Genomic DNA, 19,854 nt, shown 5'->3' with positions numbered 1-19,854 from the left:
TGTGTAGAAAGAGAGCATCAACTGAAAAATCACACAATTTTATAAATTTAGAAAAGAGAGCTTTATTTCTTATAAAGGTTTGCAGCCTGCAAGGTGGCCATTATGACAGGCTGGGAAGTGTGGCCTACAGCCAAGGCTAGAGGCAGGCCCTTCCAGGGAGGGAAGGAGAGGACAGGAATTTGAGCTGAATGAGTTGACTACATATACATACTCAATAGGATATCAGAGGAGCTATATCATTTTATGAGAATACTCATAAAAGAGGTCCTAACACATGCATATTGAATAAACATGCATGTTCATTCTGGGGTGGAGACTTGACATTTAAATGTGTTATAATTAGGCCCTACACATCAAAAAGTGAAGCAGGGAATGAAGGTACTCAGCCTCTGTAAAGGCACAGCCTCTAAAACTGGCCAGAACCAGTCCATGGAGGATGGTCTCTTATCAGGAGAAAGTTACTGAAATCAGTCCCTTGTCCAGTGAAAGCTGTCGTTAAGGTCGGTGGGGCAGGAGATCAGTTACTCAGTGTCTGTGAACTGGGTGAGTTGTAATTGTTTTAATCTTGCTTCTCTCATAGCCAGTGCTTGCTTGGCTGCTAGAGAAAAATAAAAACTATGTGGTAGTTAGAATCTAGTTTATTCTTTAAGAGTAGGGTACAAGACTTAACCCTTGCCTGGCATGGCCCTAGGTCCTGTTTATAATTTGGGGTCTTATTGCCACAAAGAGTCTGTTCTGTCAGTCTCATGATCTCTATTTTAACGTTAATGCTGTTCAGTTGTTGGGTCTAAACCATAAGAGGGAGAGAGGTACAGGGAGTTATGTCTGACCTCCTGTCCTGTCATGGCCAAGAACTGAATTTTAAGATTTATTTGAGGTTCCGTTGGCCAACAGGGGGTCTGTTAAGTCGGGTGGGGGGCTTAGGGTTTCATTTTTAGTTCTCAAGGGAGATAAAATAATTTAATCAATTGGCCCCTGTGACTATTGGACTAACATGGCTATGATCTGTCAGACAGACTTCAGGCTGGCACCCAGGCAAAATTCTATACTGTAGTAAATGCATCATGCACATTTGTAACAACATGTACATAACAATGTCACAAAATACTTTCACGGTGACACCTAGATTAGTGTTTTATTGAATAGCTGATGATATAAACTGGCTCATTTGATGCCAAGACTGACCATCACCACCATACCAAGGTCATCACTGATCAGAGGCCTAACCCAAGGAGGGGGTCATGTGCAGACCCAGCTGTGGGGAGGAAAGATGCTGCAGAGGAGACGGATGCCCACAGAGGCCCCTGAGTGGATACAATGCTCACTAAGTGGTAAGTATAGACTCAACGTAGGCTGTCAGGTCTCCCCCTGTGCAAATGGGACATCCACTTGAGAGTCAAGGGTCTGTTTGGGTGGCAGGGATAGCCACTTCTGAAGGTAGAAAGAAAAATAAGCCACCAAATTGGTATCTTTCTGTGAAATGGACATCGTGCTTAGAGTCTCCATTTTCCCCACAACCTGGAGGAATAAGTATTGTCATCTGCATTTTATAGCTGAGGAATCTGACTCAACAAAATTAAATTACTCACCTAAGCAATTAGCAATTAACCAAGTCTTTCTGATTCAGAAACCCAGCTGTTGCCTGTTCATATCCAGCCCCTGTATTGGGATCAAGATCTGCCCTATTCTCAGTGCAGCAAGATCCAGGCAGATCACACTGGACTCCCAGCACTGAATCTGGCTCAAGGGGACATGAAATTTGACTGGGTCATGGGACTCAGGAGCATCACTCTCAAAAATAGCAGTACAGGAAGAGGCGATGGCCCTAAACAGCATTTGCAGGCAGATCCCATGTTAATCATAAGGGCCAGGACTCTCTCACTGTCTGTCTCTCTCTCTGTCTCTCCTCTAGGGCTGACCCCACATTGGACACCGCTGCATCCATGTCCATCACACAACACAGCTGCCGTTTCTTCTGCCTGCTTATGGGAAAGTCCCCTCTTCTCCTCCGTTTTCTTCTCTTCCTGCCCTATCACACCGTGCACTTCTCCCTTTCCTTAAAGAACCACCATCAACTTTAGGAGGAGGGAAAGGGGTGGCTCTGGCAGGAAAAGCCAGAATCCCCTCTAGCCAGCAGAGAGAGAGAGGAATGGCTGCATGTTTTCTCCCCCAGTCCAAGGCACTGGGTCTTGGCTGGGTTGAAGGTTCCAAGCTGCTCTCCTGCTGTGTCGGTGAGTTCTGGTCAACCTGCAACCTCCTGATATGGCCATTGCAGTTCATCGAGTCTTCAGGGACTCCCCATGGCCTGGAGTACTTTGCCTTGCTTACACGGGAGAGGAGAATGGATTTATAGAGAACATCATCTAAATCCAACTTGACCATTGTGTGGCCACACTTGCTAGATTGCTATAGTCTAAATCTAGCATTGTAGAAAGACGGGGGAGCTTGGAGCTGCACAAACCCAGGTCTGGAACTGGCTCCTTACCTTGGAAGGTGAATGATCCTGCCAGGACTCTTAGCCTCCCTGGGTCTCAATTTCTTTATCTGTTTCATGGGAATGAGGATCTCTGCTGGGTGGTTGGGTGATGTGGGGGCTGTGTGAAAACAGCTTGTCAATACAAGCCAAAATAGAAATATTTCTCCACAGAGTATGAAGGTCAAATGAGAGAATACATTTAAATTAAATGGAAAATTAAAATGGTAAAAAATGCAAAGCTGTATTGAAAGTTCCGAGCTTCTCTATAAGGAGCTTTTTGACTATGTAAGAATCCTGTACTCGTTCCCCCTAAATATAAAAAAAAGTTGAAGGAGGCAGAAGGGAGAGTGATGCACGATGGGCAAGGACTTCACCTGCTGTTGCTGGCTTTGAGGATGGAGGAAGGAGGCCACAAACCTAGAAGCTGGAGCCCCTAGAAGCTAGAAAAGGCAGGGACCCGATTCTTTCCTTGAGCCTCCAGAAGGGACACAGCCCCGCCAGCACCTTGACTTTAGCCTGGTGAGATCCTCTTAGGACTTTTGGCAATCAGAACTATAAGACAGAAATGGAAGCCACTGAGTCTGTAGCTGTTTGTTGCAGCAGCAATAGAAAACTAATGCAGGGCCCAAGAAATCACTGGTGATGAGATCGGGAAAGTGGGCTCAGGAGGTCTGGATCTGTGATGAGATGGGGAAAGTGGGCTCAAGAGGTCTGGATCTGTGGTGAGATGGGGGAAGTGGGCTCAGGAGGTCTGGATCTGTGATGAGATGGGGAAAGTGGGCTCAGGAGGTCTGGATCTGTGATGAGATGGGGAAAGTGGGCTCAGGAGGTCTGGATCTGTGATGAGATGGGGGAAGTGGGCTCAGGAGGTCTGGATCTGTGATGAGATGGGGGAAGTGGGCTCAGGAGGTCTGGATCTGTGATGAGATGGGGGAAGTGGGCTCAGGAGGTCTGGATCTGTGATGAGATGGGGAAAGTGGGCTCAGGAGGTCTGGATCTGTGATGAGATGGGGGAAGTGGGCTCAGGAGGTCTGGATCTGTGATGAGATGGGGAAAGTGGGCTCAGGAGGTCTGGATCTGTGATGAGATCGGGAAAGTGGGCTCAAGAGGTCTGGATCTGTGGTGAGATGGGGGAAGTGGGCTCAGGAGGTCTGGATCTGTGATGAGATGGGGAAAGTGGGCTCAGGAGGTCTGGATCTGTGATGAGATGGGGAAAGTGGGCTCAGGAGGTCTGGATCTGGGGTGGGGATCTGGAGTGGAAGGGGAATTCATTTGTTCATTGTCTATCCTTTTGTATTGATTGAATTTTTTATATATATATGTGAATTTTCACAATAAAATTTTTTTCCAAAATAAAATAAACAAAAGGGGCTTTTTGCAACCCAATTCCTATCTATGTCTGAGTCCACTTGTATTGCATGGGTCTTTCTGCTAACGTCCTTATATTTGGGTGACAATCTGAATGTCAGCGACCAATCAGAGCAGAGGCAGACTTTGGAGTGGGCAGGGCATCCTGAGGGCCCTGATTCCTGCCATGAGACGTAACCCTTTAGGTGCCAGACCATGGGGAGGTCCAGGGGTTGCAGGGGAGGGCTGTGCATCTGCAATGGCTCTCAGGGGGGCTCCCGGTGGTGGCAATCGGTGAATCTGCACAGTGGTGCTTCAATATTATCACAACCCTGCTGTCTCTCATGCTCTCAAAAAGCGTTTCTCTTACCTGTGACAGACTTCCTATACCTAACAGCTTGCAAAAATGTTTCAGGTTAATGAGAATAATCTCTTGGAGCCATACCTCCCTGCTTGGGGTCTCAGTTTCCCCAGCTGTCTCCAGACAAGTTAGGCTAGAAGGCCCCTGAGCCTCAGCCCCTCTATCCCCCTCCTGTCACCCAGACCTGATCTGGGTCTTGCACCCTGGGTGCAGCATGACAGGGGTGGGCAGGGGCTGGCTCTGGGCCAGAGGACCCTTTCTGATGGACTTCAGCTGTTGGCCTTCCAGGGGAGACTGATCAACCTCACAAGAGTCATAAGGTGAGTAGCGGTGGGCAAATCCATCCCCCTCATCTTAGATTTATGGGGATACAGAGAGAAAGAGGAGACACTCCAGGAAGACGTGCAGGTGGGAGTACCAGGTTGAAACCAAGGACACCTTCCTGGAGGAGTTGCTGTTTGAGCCAGCTCTGAGAACAGGTGGGGACAGGACTGGAGAGGAGGAGGGGGTGCCCTATGAGCAAAGACTGGCCACCACCCCATCTAACACCCCCACAGGGCCCCTGTGGCATCCCTGTCCAGTCCCTGTCACCACCCACTTTTTCCCTCTGGACCCAGGAATTCAAAGTAAGCAAGGAGGTCCGCTGCTCCAGTTGGCTGCAAATAATTACAACCTTGAGCCCAAGCAGCACTTTGGGTCCTGGTTTGGGACGATGAAGCAGCTCGGTGAGACTGAGAGGTAAGGCCAGGGCAGGAATTGGGACACTAGGATTGAACTCTCCCTGGGGGCCAGCCTCAGAAAGCCTGTGGCCATGGCCTCTTGGCCAACATCAGATCCTGTGGTCTGGCAATGCCTGGGGTACCCAGACCTCACTCTGCACAGGCCCTGGGAGGGGGCCCTGGTGAGATTCCTGGCAGCCTCACAGCCACTCTTCTGTCCATAGCTACAACCTGTCATGCCAGCTGGAGGCTCCATCCCAGTTGGCTGGGAGCACAAAGGCCAGGAAGGTAGACATCACCCACCACAGGGGCCAGTCGGGGCCTGAACCAGGGCGGGCAGAGATTGGCTGCCTTGGGCTATGGGTGGGCTCAGGGAGTCAGAGAGCAAGGGACTAGCCTCCCATCCTACTGCTGACCAGCCCTGTGACTGGGGAGAGTCACCTTACTTCTCTGGGCCTCAGTTTCCCCCTCTGTGGAGTGACACTAAATGCTCTCTCTGGAGACTGGGATCAATGGGGCACTGGTGATTGACCAGGCACTCAGCACATGCCTGGAGCACACAGTGCAGGGCTGTGGTGGGGAGGTGGCCTGGGTCCCTGGGGAGGCACCCATGTGTGCCTGCCCTTCCGACCAGCCACCAGGCCCTCAGGGCAGAGCCCACTACCAGCAGCAGCTCACACCCCGAGACCAGCTCAGAGGCGGCCCCTACCTCAGCAGCAGGGACATCACGGACACTTTGAGCTGGTACTAGGGCAGCTTCTCCGGCTCCCACCTGGAGAGGGGTCCCAGCTGAGTCCCACTCACGTGAAGTCTCATGCCCCTGAAAGTGCCATTCACCACTGGCCAGGCTCATGAGGCCACATGAGGGGGGGGGTGTCACTGGGGAGGAGATATGGGGGGAACAGAGGGGTGGTTGAATTTTTGTATAATAGGCAGTGCAAGTGTTTACCGTTTGGGAGGGGAAAGGTTTGTTATTATTAGCAGTGCTACACTTGAATATTATACTAAAATCCAGTTTCTCTATAACCTGGGAGTTGCTCTTTTGTTCTTTCTTTTCCTGTCTTAATTAAAATGAGATGCAGGTTCTCACGGTCCACAGTCGATTAAGAAATCTTGCAGGGCCATCAGTTATGTCTTGGAGAGCAGGGTTTCAGTACCATCAGCCTGGCAAGGAGCTGGGCCTGCCCCTCAGAGCTCCCGGGACTGCGAGATTTGGCACATTCACAGGGCACTGTCACAGCCTCTGAAACGCTGTCTTTAAAGACATCTGCAGGCTGGACGCGGTGGCTCACTCCTGTAATCCCAGCACTTTGAGAGGCAGAAGCAGGTGGCTCACTTGAGGTCAGGAGTTTGAGACCAACATGGCCAACATGGCAAAACCCCATCTCTACTAAAAATACAAAAATCAGCCAGGTGTGGTGGCAGGTGCCTGTAATTCCAGCTACTTGGGAGGCTGAGGTAGGAGAATTGCTTGAACCCAGGAGGCGGAGGTTGCAGTGAGCAGAGATCGCACTACTGCACTCCAGTCTGGGCAACAAGAGCAAAACTTCATCTCAAAATAAAAAAAATAAAAAACATAAAAAAGACATTTGCAAGGACCATGTCCTCACCCAGAATGGTGCCTGCCTTTCTACAGTTTTTCAGGAAGAGGAAACATTTTCTGCTTCTCTCGCTGAGGTTTTTTTTAACCACCCATTAGGAACCTATAGATTTCAGGATCAAACACTGGGATTCCCTCAGCACTAAAGGAGGAAAATTGCAAACAGAGCTGAAAGTGCAATGTGGAAAGGTCAGGCTGAGGAAGGTTCTTAGCCAGTAGACCAATGGCAGGAAGGACACTGCCTCCTCAGTCTCCCACTAGGGAACTTGTGGTTCTTGTCCCCTGACCTCAGAATTCCTTGTCATGTTTGTTTTGTCTCCAAGGGAAGGGTTTGCATTACAGAATTTAAGGCTAGAGTGGGCCTCGTGCAGTTAACATTAACCCTCTCTCTCCTTTGCTGGCTGAGGTGAAGTCTGGGACCATATAGTTCTGACGTCCACTCTCTCGGGGGATCACCAGTTCACCCACCTCACCTGGCAAGCTGGGCCCTAGTTTGGCGACAGGCATCTTCCACCCACCTGGGAGGCAGGGTTCAACACTCTGCCTCTGACCTTGTTTCCTTCCTCTGCCACCTGCTTAGGCAGCCAGAAGGGGTTGTCTAGCCAGCCTGGGCTTTGGTGCTCCTCAGGCAGGTGGAGGAAGTTTCAGGCACCTGGCTCCTCAGGTGTCTGCCATTCAGGTGCTCTTCAGGCCTGCCCAGCAGGGCTCTCTTGATCCAGCTAGAACTGGCCAGAACTGACTCACTCAGGAATGTGTAGACTTTGGCATCAGGGGCTGCTTTAATTTGCACAATTTCCAAATACCTCTTTTTTCTTCTTTTTCTGATGAGTCATCTCCCTAGACTTGCATTTTAAAGAGACAGATAGTTATCAGGTTCCAGAGAAGACATGGTAGAATGTTTATATCTCAAAGGCACAGTGTTGAGACTTCAGGTTTAGATACTATCATTTGCCTAAACCAAAAAGGAGCGTGTAGGTAAAGTTCTAGTCAAGACAGGATGGCCAGGAAAAACACCTTAAACCAAGGGACGGCTTGCTTTGCTGATTTAAGCCAATGGCTTCTTTATCATAAGACTTCCCAGTAATTTAGTCCTTCCTCTCTTCCAGTGCACAGAGACATACCCCTCCTTACAAATAAAAATTTTCTTTATAGATGTAAATTTATTTTACAAAAATGTTTCAAAATAACCAGATGAAAATCATCATTATGCCAGAAAGACTTGTTTTTTTTTTTTTTTTTTCTCATTAATAGAAACGAAACAGTAAGTATTTGTTGTATTGACGTACTTAGGCTCAGACCTATGTTTAACAAGAAAGCCTAATAATAGCACTGTGGTTAGACTCTAGCCATCATTTAATTATTTAGGAAATAAAGGATCAAATACCTTTCATTCATCTGATATGATTCTTTAAAACACATTCCACTAATAAGTCCCATTTGGAACAGCTGAAAATCTTTTAGTAAAAGCTTTTTAAAGATGAGCTCGTGGCTTAGTGTAAATTTCACAAGCTTAATTAGGTCAAATGGAAGGAACTCAGATGAGTAGTTGCCCAATCAGAGCCCATTATTTGTAAGTCATCAACCCCCTTCATGACCTAAAAACTCTACTCTGACCTAGTTATTGCAAACCTATATACAACAAAGTGAAAGGATTAATTTTCATTCATCAACCTCTCAATCCTAGATTTTCAAAGAAAAAACCTATCTAAGGAATACTTACAAAAATCAGACAGGAAAATTAGAGCCTGCATACTTAAGAGTCAAATTTGTTCCACTACAGCCAGGTCGCATACAATTACATCATTTGGTTCTTCGTACACGCTAGAACTGACCAGGACAGAGTTTAGCGTAGAAAAACTGTAAGAAATAGGTTCCTACACATAGGAATTGCAAAGTTCAAAAGGGTATGAAGAAAACTAATATAAATGAGAGACTCCCCTCCGTTTTAAAGAAATACACGCTCTCTAAAAATATACGCAATTTTTACAAATACATTTATAAGTTGTTTTTATCTTAAAAATTGGGGATATTTCACATTTATAACTAATTATTGAGACTTAAGTTTTCTTGGCCATTTCTAGGCTAATAAACTAAGAATCATTTAAACTAAGCCAAAGTAGAATAGATATAAAAGTCCTGAACACTTCAACTTCCTACTCTTCAAGAAGTATACCCGGCAAAGCTCATTTGAGAGAGGAAATGCTTTCCTCCACCCTCTGTTTTACAGCGCTGAGGCTTCTTATCACAGTTCTATGACTTGTAGCTTAAATCCATGTTACATGGTCACTGACATTGTTGGTGCTTCTCTTTTAACACTGTAGGAATTAATTCGGTGGCATATTTAATTAATTTTATCACTAGCCTGGCTGCTGGCCACCCTTCTCAACAAGGAAATTAAGTCAGAAAGGCTTATTTTCACTAAGTAAGACTTCGGGAACATGGCAAAGTTCATGACAATAAGAAAGAAGTGGCAGCAAGGGTTGGAAAAGAGTGGTTTCAGTCAACTGAGAGGTTCCCATGGGAGAAGCAGGATCAAAGAGAGAGAGAGAGAAAACAGGGAGGGCTGATTAGATTAGTCGATAGTTGTCCCAAGAGTGATGCCTTTGAGGGCTTCCCTTAGTGGGGAAACAGTCCAGGCCAAAGGGATGACCCGTGAGATGGCTGCTGTAAAAGTGGACAATTCTTTTTCCAGTGGCCTGGCTATTTGCAAAAAAGGCAGACATCTTAGGGCACAGGGGTGTTTAGTTTGCATGCACAAGTACAAGTACTCTCAATCCCTGCAGTTGTTGTAACTGGGAAGACACGCACCTATTTACCTTTGTAAGGGTTTCCCCACTGTCACCACTGTAACTCTAGGTTATCTTGAGGGAGGCCAAACTTATCTATCTACTGAACCCAGTCCAGTTTCCATCTGATCATCAGACTGAGTGGCCTCCTACCTCGATCCAATGCAGTTCACAATCAAATCCAATTTGATGCTGGACTCAGTCAAGTTTTTGCCAATGACTCGTCAGCTACCCAAACCTCAAAAGGCCGTATATTATCTCACAGCAGAAACTGGCCATTGGCACCCATCCCAAGATAATTTGCCCTCTCACAGCACAAAACCCTGGATTTGAAACCCAAAAGGATCAAGGTTCAATGCAAAAAGAACAGAGTCTGGCCTAAGAGGAATGTACAACCTCAGAAGGAGGGCAAAGGGGCCAGCAGTGTCTTTCCTGCTTTCCTCAAGGGGTCTTGGGAGGTGGATCCCATTCAGCTTGCCAGAACTCTCAAAAGACAAAATTACAACAAATTTAGTTTAAAGATCTTATTTAGCTTTTATTTATTATTTCAGAATCAACTTTGAAACCCAGTCTGGATAAAAAAATTGGCTTAAACAAATGCATAGCTCAAAACACAAATTCTTGGAGCTTCAAAATTTGAGAGAGAACTTGCCCAGGACCCCTGCTGCTGTGAGAGATCTGTGTGCACAATGGGCCTGGTGGGTCGCTGTGCTTGGCCACTCCATGCTTCTGGGGTTTGATGGAAGTTCTACTTCAGATTGCATTTCCTACACGAATCTGTTAAAAAAAAAAAAAAAAACCTTTACATACATTAAATTTAGCAGAGTTTATTTGAGCAAAGAAACAATTTAGGAATCAGGCATCAGTTTGCACCAAAAATGGCTCAGAACACTCCATGCCACCGTATGTGCAGGTTATATTTACAGCTAGAGAAAAAGAAGTGCACGGAAACAGCCTGATTGGCTGCTGTTGGCATTTACCTTATATAGTCATGTTTTGGCAGCTTTCAGCCTCTGATTGGCTGAAGGCTCAGCTGTTTTCATTGGCTGAGACATAGTTACATGTTATAAGACTACAGTCTTGGGTTAAGTTAGTTATTTTTACACATTAAGTTAGGTTTCAACTAGCTATGTATAGAGAACTCATTAGGCCAAACTTAAAATAAGTATGGAGGCAGCTTTAGGACAAAGATAATTCAATTTAACAATACCCTTATGTATATTTTACGCTTTTTATGTATTTCTATATATATTAATAAATATAAGTAGTTGTATGTACATATATAAAAACATACCTATGTGTGTGCATACACATGTATGTGAGTATATATGTTTGCTTCTACCTTGTATGAGCAAAGTATGCCAGAGTGGCAGAGTGCTACATATATATGTGTAAATTTCTATATTAAATATATTTATGTATGTTACCTATATATTTATATGCTCATAAATATATGTTTCCTTGAATAGTCACCTATGTTCTATATTTCTAAATTTATAAATATGCATATTTATGTGTGTGTATATGTACATATATTTATATTTAATTTTTATGTGTTGCTTCTGCCTTATTTGTTAAGGTAGCCCAAAATGGCAGAGAGATTACATATGTATGCTATAAATGTTTATACTATATATATTATGTTTATGTATATATTTATATATGTTACGTAGTTCTTTTTTTCAAGAATTTGAAAAAGTTTCTAAATTGAGGAAAAATTTACATAAGATTAAGCACTTTAAAGTGTATCATTTGGTGACATTTAGGACATTCTTAACACTCTCTAGTTCCAGAATTTTTTTTCTTTTTTGAGAGGGGTCTCATTCTGTCCCTTATGCTGGAGTGTGGTGATGAGATTTTGACTCACTGCAATCTCCACCTCCCAGGCTCAAACAATCTTCCCACCTCAGCCTTCTGAATAGCTGGGACCACAGGCACGTGTGCCACCACGCCCAGCTAATTCTTCGTATTTTTTTTGGTAAACGTGGGGTTTCACCATGTTGCCCAGGCTGGTCTTGAACTCCTTAGCTCAGGTGATCCACCTGCCTTGGCCTCCCAAAGTGCTGGGAGTTTTTATAGTTCGAAGTCTTACATTTAAGTCTTTAATCCCTCTTGAGTTAATTTTTGTATATGGTGATAAGTAGGGGTCTAGTTTCATTCTGGCATCTAGATAGCCAGTTATCCTGGAATCATTTATTGAATAGGAAGCCCTTTTCCTATTGCTTATTTTTGTCACCTTTGCCAAAGATCAGTTAGTTGTAGACGTGTGGCTTCATTTCTGGGTTCTTTATCCTTTTCTAATGGTCTATGTGTCTGTTTTTGTACCAATACCATGCTGTTTTGGTTACTGTAGCCTTGTAGTATAGTTTGAAGTGAGGTAGTGTGATGCCTCCCGCTTTGTTCTTTTTGCTTAGGATTGCTTTGGTGATTTGTGCTCCTTTTTAGTTCCTTATAAATTTTAGAATAGGTTTTTTTTCTAATTCTGTGAAAAATGACATTGGTAGTTTGATAGGAATAACATTGAATCTAGAGATTGCTTTTGATAGTATGTGGCAATTTTAACAATATTGATTCTTTCTATCCTTGAGCATGGAGTGTTTTTCGATTTGTTTGGGTCAGCTCTGATTTCTTTCAGCAGTGCTTTGTAATTCTTGTTTTCTTGTTGTAGAGATCTTTCACCTCCCTGGTTCCCTTTATTCCTTGGTATTTGTGTGTGTGTGTGTGTGTGTGTGTGTGTGTGTGTGTGTCTATTGTGAATTAAATGGCATTCTTGATTTGGCACTCAGCTTGGATATTGTTGGTGTATAGAAATACTGCTGATTTGTGTACCTTGATTTTGTATCCTGAAACTTTGCTGAAGTTGTTTATTAGATCTAGGAGCTTTTAGGCAGAGACTATGGGGTTTTCTAGGTATAAAATCATGTTATCTGCAAACAGAGATAGTTTGACTTCCTGTCTTCCTATTTGGATGCCTTTACTTCTTTCTCTTGCCTGATTGTCCTGGCTAGGATTTCTAGTACTGTGTTAAATAGGAGTGATGGGAGTGGGTATCCTTGTCTTGTTCCACTTCTCAAGGGGAATGATCCCAGCTTCTGCCTGTTCAGTGTGATGTTGGCCGTGGGTTTGTCATAAATGGCTCTCATTATTTTGAGGTATGTTCCCTCAATACCTAGTTTATTAAGGGTTTTTAACATAAAGGGATGTTGAATTTTATCAAAAGTCTTTTTTGCATCTATTGAGATGATTATGTGGTTTTTGTTTTCAGTTCTGTTTATGTGATAAGTCACATTTATTGATTTGCATATGTTGAACCAACCTTGCATCCCAGGCATAAACCCTGCTTGATTATGGTGGATTAGCTTTTTGATGTGCTGGTAGATTCAGTTTGCTAGTATTTTGTTGAGGATTTTTGCATCTGTGTTCATCAAGGATATTGGCCTGTAGTTTTTTCTTTGCTGTGTCTCTGCCAGGCTTTGGTATCAGAATGATGCTTGCCTCATAGAATGAGTTAGTGAGGAGTCTCTGGTCCTCAATTGTTTGGAATAGTTTCAAGCAGGGATGGTAGCAGCTCTTCTTTATACGTCTGGTAGAATTTGGCTGTGAATTCATCTGATCCTGGGCTTTTTCTTGCTCAAAATCATAAAATTAGATGGAAATTATTTTATTACTGATTCAATTTCAAAACTCATTATTAGTCTGTTCAGGGTTTCAGTTTCTTCCTGGTTCAATTTTGGGGAGTTGTGTTTTCAGGAATTTTTCCACATTTTGTAGGTTTTCTAGTTTGTGTGCCTAGAGGTGTTCATAATGGTCTCAGAGTTTTTGTATTTCTGTAGGGTCATTGATAATGTCTCCTTTGTCAATTTTGATTGTGTTTATTTGGATTTTCTCTTTCTTCTGCTGTTAGTCTAGTTAGCGTTCTAGCTATCTTATTTAGTCTTTAAAAAAAACTTCTGGTTTTATTGATCTTTTGTATGTTTTTTCATGCATCACTTTATTTCAGTTCGGCTCTGATTTCAGTTATTTCTTGTCTTCTTCTAGTTTTAGGGTTGGTTTGATCTTGTTTTTCTAGTTCTTCTAGGTGTGATGCTATGTTGTTAATTGGAGATCTTTCTAACTTTTTGACATGAGCATTTAATGCTATAAACTTTCCTCTTAACAGTGCTTTAGCTGTGTCACACAGATTCTGGTATGTCTTATCTTTTTTTTCTTTGGTTTTGAAGCTTTATTTCTGCCTTAATTTCATAATTTACCTAGCAGTCATTCAAGAGCAGGTTGTTCAATTTCCATGTAATTTTATGGTTTTGAGCAATCTTCTTAGTATTTGCTTCTATTTTTATTGTGCTGTGGTTTGAGAGTGTAATTGGTATGATTTCAATTTTTAAAAATTTTTTGAGAATTGTTTTTTGTCTGATTGTGTGGTCAGTTTTAGAGTATGCACCACGTGGTGATGAGAATAATATATATTCTGTTGTTTTGGGGTGGGGAATTCTGTAGATGTCTGTTAGTTCCATTTGGTCAAGTGTTGAGTTCAGGTCATATATTTTTTAGTTTTCTGCCTTGATGATCTGTCTAATACTGTCAGTGGAGGGTTGAAGTCTCCCACTATGATTGTGTGGAAATTTAAGTCTCCTCACAGGTCTCTAAGAACTTGTTTTTATGAATCTGGGTGCTCCCTGGGTGCACACATAATTCTTGTGTTGGATGCATATATATTTAGAAGAGTTAAGTCTTCTTGTTGAATTGAACACTTTACCATTATGTAATGCCCTTCTTTGTATTTTTTGATTGTTGTTGACTTAAAGTCTGTTTTGTCTGAAATTAGAATAGCAGCCCCTGCTAATTTTTTGTTTGTTTGTTTTGTTTTTGTTTTCTGTTTACTTGGTAGATTTTCCTCCATCCCGTTACTTTGAGCCTATCTGTGTCATTGCATGTGTGAGATGGGTCTCTTGAAGATGGCATACAGTTGGGTCTTGTTTGTTTGTTTGTTTGTTTTTAATTTTTTGAGACCGTTCTGTCTCTTTCACCCATGCTGGAATGCAGTGGCACAATTATGGCTTACTGAAGCCTCAATCTCCTGAGTTCAGGTGATCTTTACACTTCAACTTCTGGAGTAGCTGGGACTACAAGTGCAGGCCACCGTGCCTAACTAATTTTATATTTTTTATAGAGATGAGTTTTTCCCATGTTGCCCAGGCTGGTCTCGAACACCTGGGCTTAAGCGATCTGCCCACCTTGGTCTCCCAAAGTGCTGGGATTACAGACATGAGCCATTGCACCCAAGTGGGTCTCGCTTCTTTATTCAACTTGCCACTCTGTGCATTTCAATTGGGGCATTTAGCCCACTTACATTCAAAGTTAATAATTCTATGTATGGAATTGATCCTGTCCTTATATATATATATTTTTAGCTGGTTATTATGCAGACTAGACTTGATTTTGTAGTTGCTTTGTAGCATTAATGGTCTATGTATTTAAGTGTGTTTTTGTGATGACTGGTAATGGTCTTTTGTTTTCATATTTATTTTATTTTATTTTGAGACAGGATCTCACTCTGCTGCCCAGGCAGAGTGCAATGGTATGATCTGGGCTCACTGCAACCTCTGCTTCCTGGGCTCAAGCCATCCTCCTGCCTTAGTCTCCTGAGTGGTTGGGACCACAGGCGCATACCACCATTCCTAGCTGATTTTTATATTTTTTTGTAGAGACAGGGTTTCACCATGTTGCCCAGTCTGGTTTTGAACTCCTGGGCTCAAGTGATCCGCCTGCCTCAGCCTCCTGAAGTGCTAGGATTACAGGCGTGAGCCACTGCGCCTGGCTTGTTTCTATATTTAACACTCCCTTAGAGACCTCTTTTAAGGCAGGTCTGGTGGTGATAAATTCCCTTAACATTTGCTTGTCTGAAAAGTATCTTCTCCTTTGCTTATGAAGTTTGTTTGACTGTATATGAAATTTTTGGGCTCCCCGGCATTGCGCCATCAAAAACAAAGTCGTTCTCCAACTTCTTGTCCTGCATCACTGCCATCGCAGCTCTCAGCACTAAAAAGGTGGCATCAGACTCCTCCAAAGAACAAGTGGCCAATTCGAGGGAATCCTCCTCGTTATCAAAAGAAGTAAACGACAGTCCGAGAGCCGCCGACAAGTCTCCTGAATCCCAGAATCTCATCGACGGGACCAAAAAAACATCCCTAAAGCAACTGGATAGTCCCAGAAACATCTCAAGTGAGAACAGCATCAAAGGAACCCCGGCTTCTCCCGCAGGGTCCACACCACCAATCCCCAAAGTCCGCATAAAAACCACTAAGACGTCTTCTGGGGAAATCAAGAGAACAGTGACCAGGGTATTGCCAGAAGTGGATCTTGACTCTGGGAAGAAACCTTCCGAGCAGACGGTGTCTGTGATGGCCTCTGTGACATCCCTTCTGTCGTCTCCCGCATCAGCTGCCACCCTTTCCTCTCCCGCCAGGGTGCCTCTCCAGTCTGCAGTGGTGACCAATGCAGTTTCCTCTGCAGAGCCCACCCCTAAACAGGTCACAATCAAGCCTGTGGCTACTGCTTTCCTCCCAGTGTCTGCTGTGAAGACAGCAGGATCCCAAGTCATTAATTTGAAGCTCGCTAACAACACCACGGTGAAAGCCACGGTCGTACCTGCTGCCTCTGTCCAGAGTGCCAGCAGCACCATCATTAAAGCTGCCAATGCCATCCAGCAGCAAACTGTCATGATGCCAGCATCCAGCCTGGCCAATGCCAAACTTGTGCCAAAGACTGCATCTTGCCAACCTTAACCTTCTGCCTCAGGTTGCCCAGGCCACCTCTGAACTCTGCCAAGTGTCAATCAAAACTCAGCAACAGATAAAGAAGGCAATAATTAATGCAGCAGCCTCACAAGCCCCCAGAAAGGTGTCTCGAGTCCGGGTGGTGTCGTCCTTGCAGAGTTCTGTGGTGGAAACTTTCAACAAGGTGCTGAGCAGTGTCAATCCAGTCCATTTACATCCCAAACCTCAGTCCTCCTGCCAATGCAGGGATCACATTACTGATGCCTTGGTACAAGTGCTTGGAGTGTAGGGACTCCTTTGAACTTGAAAAGAGTCTGACCCAGCACTATGACAGATGGAGCGTGTGCATCGAAGTAACATGCAACCTTTGTACAAAGAACCTCGTTTTTTTACAACAAATGCAGCCTCCTTTCCCATGCCCGTGGGCATAAGGAGAAAGGGGTGGTAATGCAATGTTCCTACTCAATTTTAAAGCCAGTCCCAGCAGGTCAAACGATAGTTTCTCCATCAACCAATACTTCTTCTTCATCAGAGGAAAAATCCACTCTTCAGAGCCCTGTGGGAGCTGGCATACACACTGTCACAAAAATTCAGTCTGGCATAACTGGGACAGTCATATCGGCTCCTTCAAGAACTCCCAGCACTACAGCCATGCCCCTAGATGAAGACCCCTCCAAGCTGTGTAGACATAATCTAAAATGTTTGGAGTGTAATGAAATCTTCCAGGACAAGACATCGCTGGCTACACATTTCCAGCAGGCTGCAGATATGAGTGGACAAAAGACTTGTACTATCTGCCAGATGCTGCTTCCTAACCAGTGCAGAGAATCCATCAGCACAAATCTCCTTAAACCTGCCCTGAGTGCAGGGCCATCTGCAGGTTGGTGCACTTCCAGACCCACGTCACCAAGAACTGTCTGCACTACACAAGGAGAGTTGGTTTTTGATGTGTACGTTGCAATGTTGTGTACTCTGATGTGGCTGCTCTGAAGTCTCGCCTTCAAGGTTCTCACTGTGAAGTCTTCTACAAGTGTCCTATTTGTCCAATGACGTTTAAGTCTGCCCCAAGCACACATTCCCACACCTACACACAGCATCCTAGCATCAAGATAGGAGAATCAAAAATAATATATAAGTGTTCCATGTGCAACACTGTGTTCACCCTGCAAACCTTGCTGTATCGCCACTTTGACCAACACATTGAAAACCAGAAGGTGTCTGTTCTCAGGTGTCCAGACTGTTCTCTTTTATATGCACAGAAGCAACTTATGGTGGACCATATCAAGTCTATGCATGGGACATTGCAAAGCATTGAAGGGCCAACTTGGGTGTAAACTTGCCTTTGAGCATTAAGCCTGCAACTTATAATTCAGCATATCAGAACAAAGAGGACAGCAAATCCATGAATGGGAAAGAGAAATTGGAAAAGAAATCTCCATCTCCTTTGAAAAAAATCAGTGGAAACCAAGAAAGTGGCCAGTCCTGGGTGGACATGTTGGGAGTGTGACCGCCTGTTCATGCAGAGAGATGTGTACATATCCCACGTCAGGAAGGAGCATGGGAAACAAATGAAGAAACAACCCTGCTGCCAGCGTGACAAGCCTTTCAGCTCGTCCCACAGCCTGTGCTGGCACAACCGGATCAAGCACAAAGTCATCAGGAAAGTGTACACCTGTTCACACTGCTCAGACTCTAGAGGTACCTTTACCAAACAGTTGATGTTGGAGAAGCATGTCCAGCTGACGCATGGCATCAAGGACCCTGACCTGAAAGAAATGATAGACGCCATCAATGAGGAGGAAACAGAAATAAAAGAAGACCCCAAGGTCCCCAGTCCCAAGTGGAAGTTGAAAGAACCGGTTCTGGAGTTCAGGCCTCCCAGAGGAGCAATCACTCAACCAAAGCTGGAAATCAATGTTTTTAAGGTTCACAAGTGTGCCGTGTGTGGCTTCACCACCGAAAACCTGCTGCAGTTCCACGAACACATCCCTCAGCACAAATCGGATGGTTCTTTCTACCAGTGCCGGGAGTGTGGCCTCTGCTACATGTCACGTCTCTCTGTCCAGGCACCTCTTTGTTGTACACAAGTTAAAGGAACCTCAGCCAGTGTCCAAGCAAAACGGGGCTGGGGAAGATAACCAACAGGAGAACAAACCCAGTCACGAGGATGAATCTCCCAATGGCGCCATGTCAGACAGAAAGTGCAAAGTGTGCGCAAAAACTTTTGAAACTGAAGCTGCCTTAAAAACTCACATGCAGACACATGGTATGGCCTTCATCAAATCCAAAAGGATGAGCTCAGACGAGAAATAGCCACAGACGCTCCATGAGGAAAATCCCTGTCCACATTGGCATAAGACACTTTTGTTACACAAAGTTTGCAGTATAATAGAGTTAACAATACTGTCTAGGCTGTTGCAATATATTCTCTTTCAACGTGCCTTCCTTCTTCATCTTGTCATATATATCCTCATTAAGTATTAAAACAGATTTTGAGTTTAAAAGAGTTTGTATATATTTAAATGAATAACTTTTTATACTCTTTGTTACATGTTTGTATCAGTATTCAGTGGAAAACGTTTTGAGTTGTTTTGGGTTAGAATTTTTCTTTTTGTGCTGTTTCTTTAAAACAGAGTTCTTAGTAACAGGGGCAGTTCCTGAATTCAAATAAATCATTTTGTATGTTTCGAATTTGAATGGGTTAACTAATTACAGGCTAAAATAATGCCTTTTTTAGTGTTTTTAATTGTTAGAATTCACTACATAAATTGGAAGTAATCGTGGGTCTCAAAAACACTAGGAACTTTTAAATGTCTTAGCACCTCCTCCATGTGCCTGCCCTGAGGGAGCGAGTACACGTTTGAGACAACTGCACTCCAGTGTGGGCATGTCTTTGTCTTCAGGCCACGCCGAAGGGTGTCTAAAGCAGCCTTGCAGGTCGCTCCTTTCCCAGCCGTGGATAAAAACTGAAGCCAGGAATCTAATAAGGAATGCTGATTTCCTCAATTCCATTTTGAGGAATGGGGAAGGCTATTCTAAAGAAGAAAAAAAATGGGACAGGTTTTCTGGGTAGATCTGCAAGTCTGGCTTTAAGAGCACAAGGAGGAAAAGTAACAAAAGGGCTGGACTACTGTAAAAGTTACAAATACGTAGTTAGACCAATAGATCTATATAGTCAGGTTTTTGTCATGTAATTTATTAACTATTACAGAAACACAACTAAGAATATCAAGTATTTCTCTGGCTCTTGATAGAAAAAAAAATCAGCTGACTTAATCCTTTACTGTCAAAAGAGTTGGCGTTTCCTGTTCTGGGTGCTACTGCCAAACGTTCTGGTGCTTAGAGGTGGGATGCACGACGTCAACCACCGACTTATCAATGCAGCCGGCTGTGTGTCACAATTGGCCGTTACCTTAAGCACTGAGCCACACGGGATTAGTTCAGCCATTTCAAGAGGTACATTTAACGTCGGCAGTTCTGCTTTACTAAAATGCAGTAGAGGTACTCTTCTGTCCCTTCCGTTTATAGTTCTCTGAGAGAGTTATATTTTTTGGTTTTGTTTTGTGTTTTCTTTTGAATTTTATATCTTGTATTTATCCCTGAACATGTTTTGTACTTTTTTTTTTAAGAAAAGGAATTATTTTGTGTATATATAGACACTTGCATGATATACTGTAGTCAATGTTCGGTTCCTCGAAAGGTCTTGCTGCTGTCAGGTGTTATACACTCCATCCATCATAACTGTATGAAACACATTTCATATGTAAATAAACGTGGGACATTTGAAAAAAA

General features: G+C 43.8%; 1 protein-coding gene, 1 long non-coding RNA gene and 1 pseudogene across 2 annotated transcripts in view, besides 3 other annotated features; all 3 read left to right on the top strand.

The window, feature by feature from the left end:
- Positions 1–3,872, top strand: part of LINC01106 (long intergenic non-protein coding RNA 1106) — a 9,428-nt gene extending 5,556 nt beyond the window's left edge. The window contains exon 2 of the long non-coding RNA NR_027244.1: positions 1,913–3,872. This is a non-coding gene — a long non-coding RNA (long intergenic non-protein coding RNA 1106). The remainder of the gene's footprint in view (positions 1–1,912) is intronic.
- Positions 1–19,854, top strand: part of LIMS4 (LIM zinc finger domain containing 4) — a 113,949-nt gene extending 94,095 nt beyond the window's left edge. The window contains exon 10 of the mRNA XM_017003105.3: positions 1–19,854. This exon is cut by the window's left edge and continues 8,417 nt beyond it. The gene's annotated coding sequence lies outside the window, so the exon portion shown is untranslated.
- Positions 4,628–5,361: an enhancer, noted in NCBI's record as "H3K4me1 hESC enhancer chr2:111131197-111131930 (GRCh37/hg19 assembly coordinates)". NCBI's record gives its function as "activates a minimal SCP1, AML or CMV promoter by ChIP-STARR-seq in naive H9 embryonic stem cells {active_cell/tissue: H9 hESC(naive)}" and the evidence as "EXISTENCE:reporter gene assay evidence [ECO:0000049][PMID:30033119]".
- Positions 5,362–6,097: an enhancer, noted in NCBI's record as "H3K27ac-H3K4me1 hESC enhancer chr2:111130461-111131196 (GRCh37/hg19 assembly coordinates)". NCBI's record gives its function as "activates a minimal SCP1, AML or CMV promoter by ChIP-STARR-seq in primed H9 embryonic stem cells {active_cell/tissue: H9 hESC(primed)}" and the evidence as "EXISTENCE:reporter gene assay evidence [ECO:0000049][PMID:30033119]".
- Positions 6,098–6,831: an enhancer, noted in NCBI's record as "H3K27ac-H3K4me1 hESC enhancer chr2:111129727-111130460 (GRCh37/hg19 assembly coordinates)". NCBI's record gives its function as "activates a minimal SCP1, AML or CMV promoter by ChIP-STARR-seq in primed H9 embryonic stem cells {active_cell/tissue: H9 hESC(primed)}" and the evidence as "EXISTENCE:reporter gene assay evidence [ECO:0000049][PMID:30033119]".
- Positions 15,247–18,572, top strand: LOC442041 (zinc finger protein 532 pseudogene; annotated as a pseudogene).

Source organism: Homo sapiens, chromosome 2, assembly GCF_000001405.40.
Source record: "Homo sapiens chromosome 2, GRCh38.p14 Primary Assembly".
NCBI classification, from domain to species: domain Eukaryota; kingdom Metazoa; phylum Chordata; class Mammalia; order Primates; family Hominidae; genus Homo; species Homo sapiens.
This window is presented reverse-complemented; position numbering and strand designations above follow the sequence as displayed.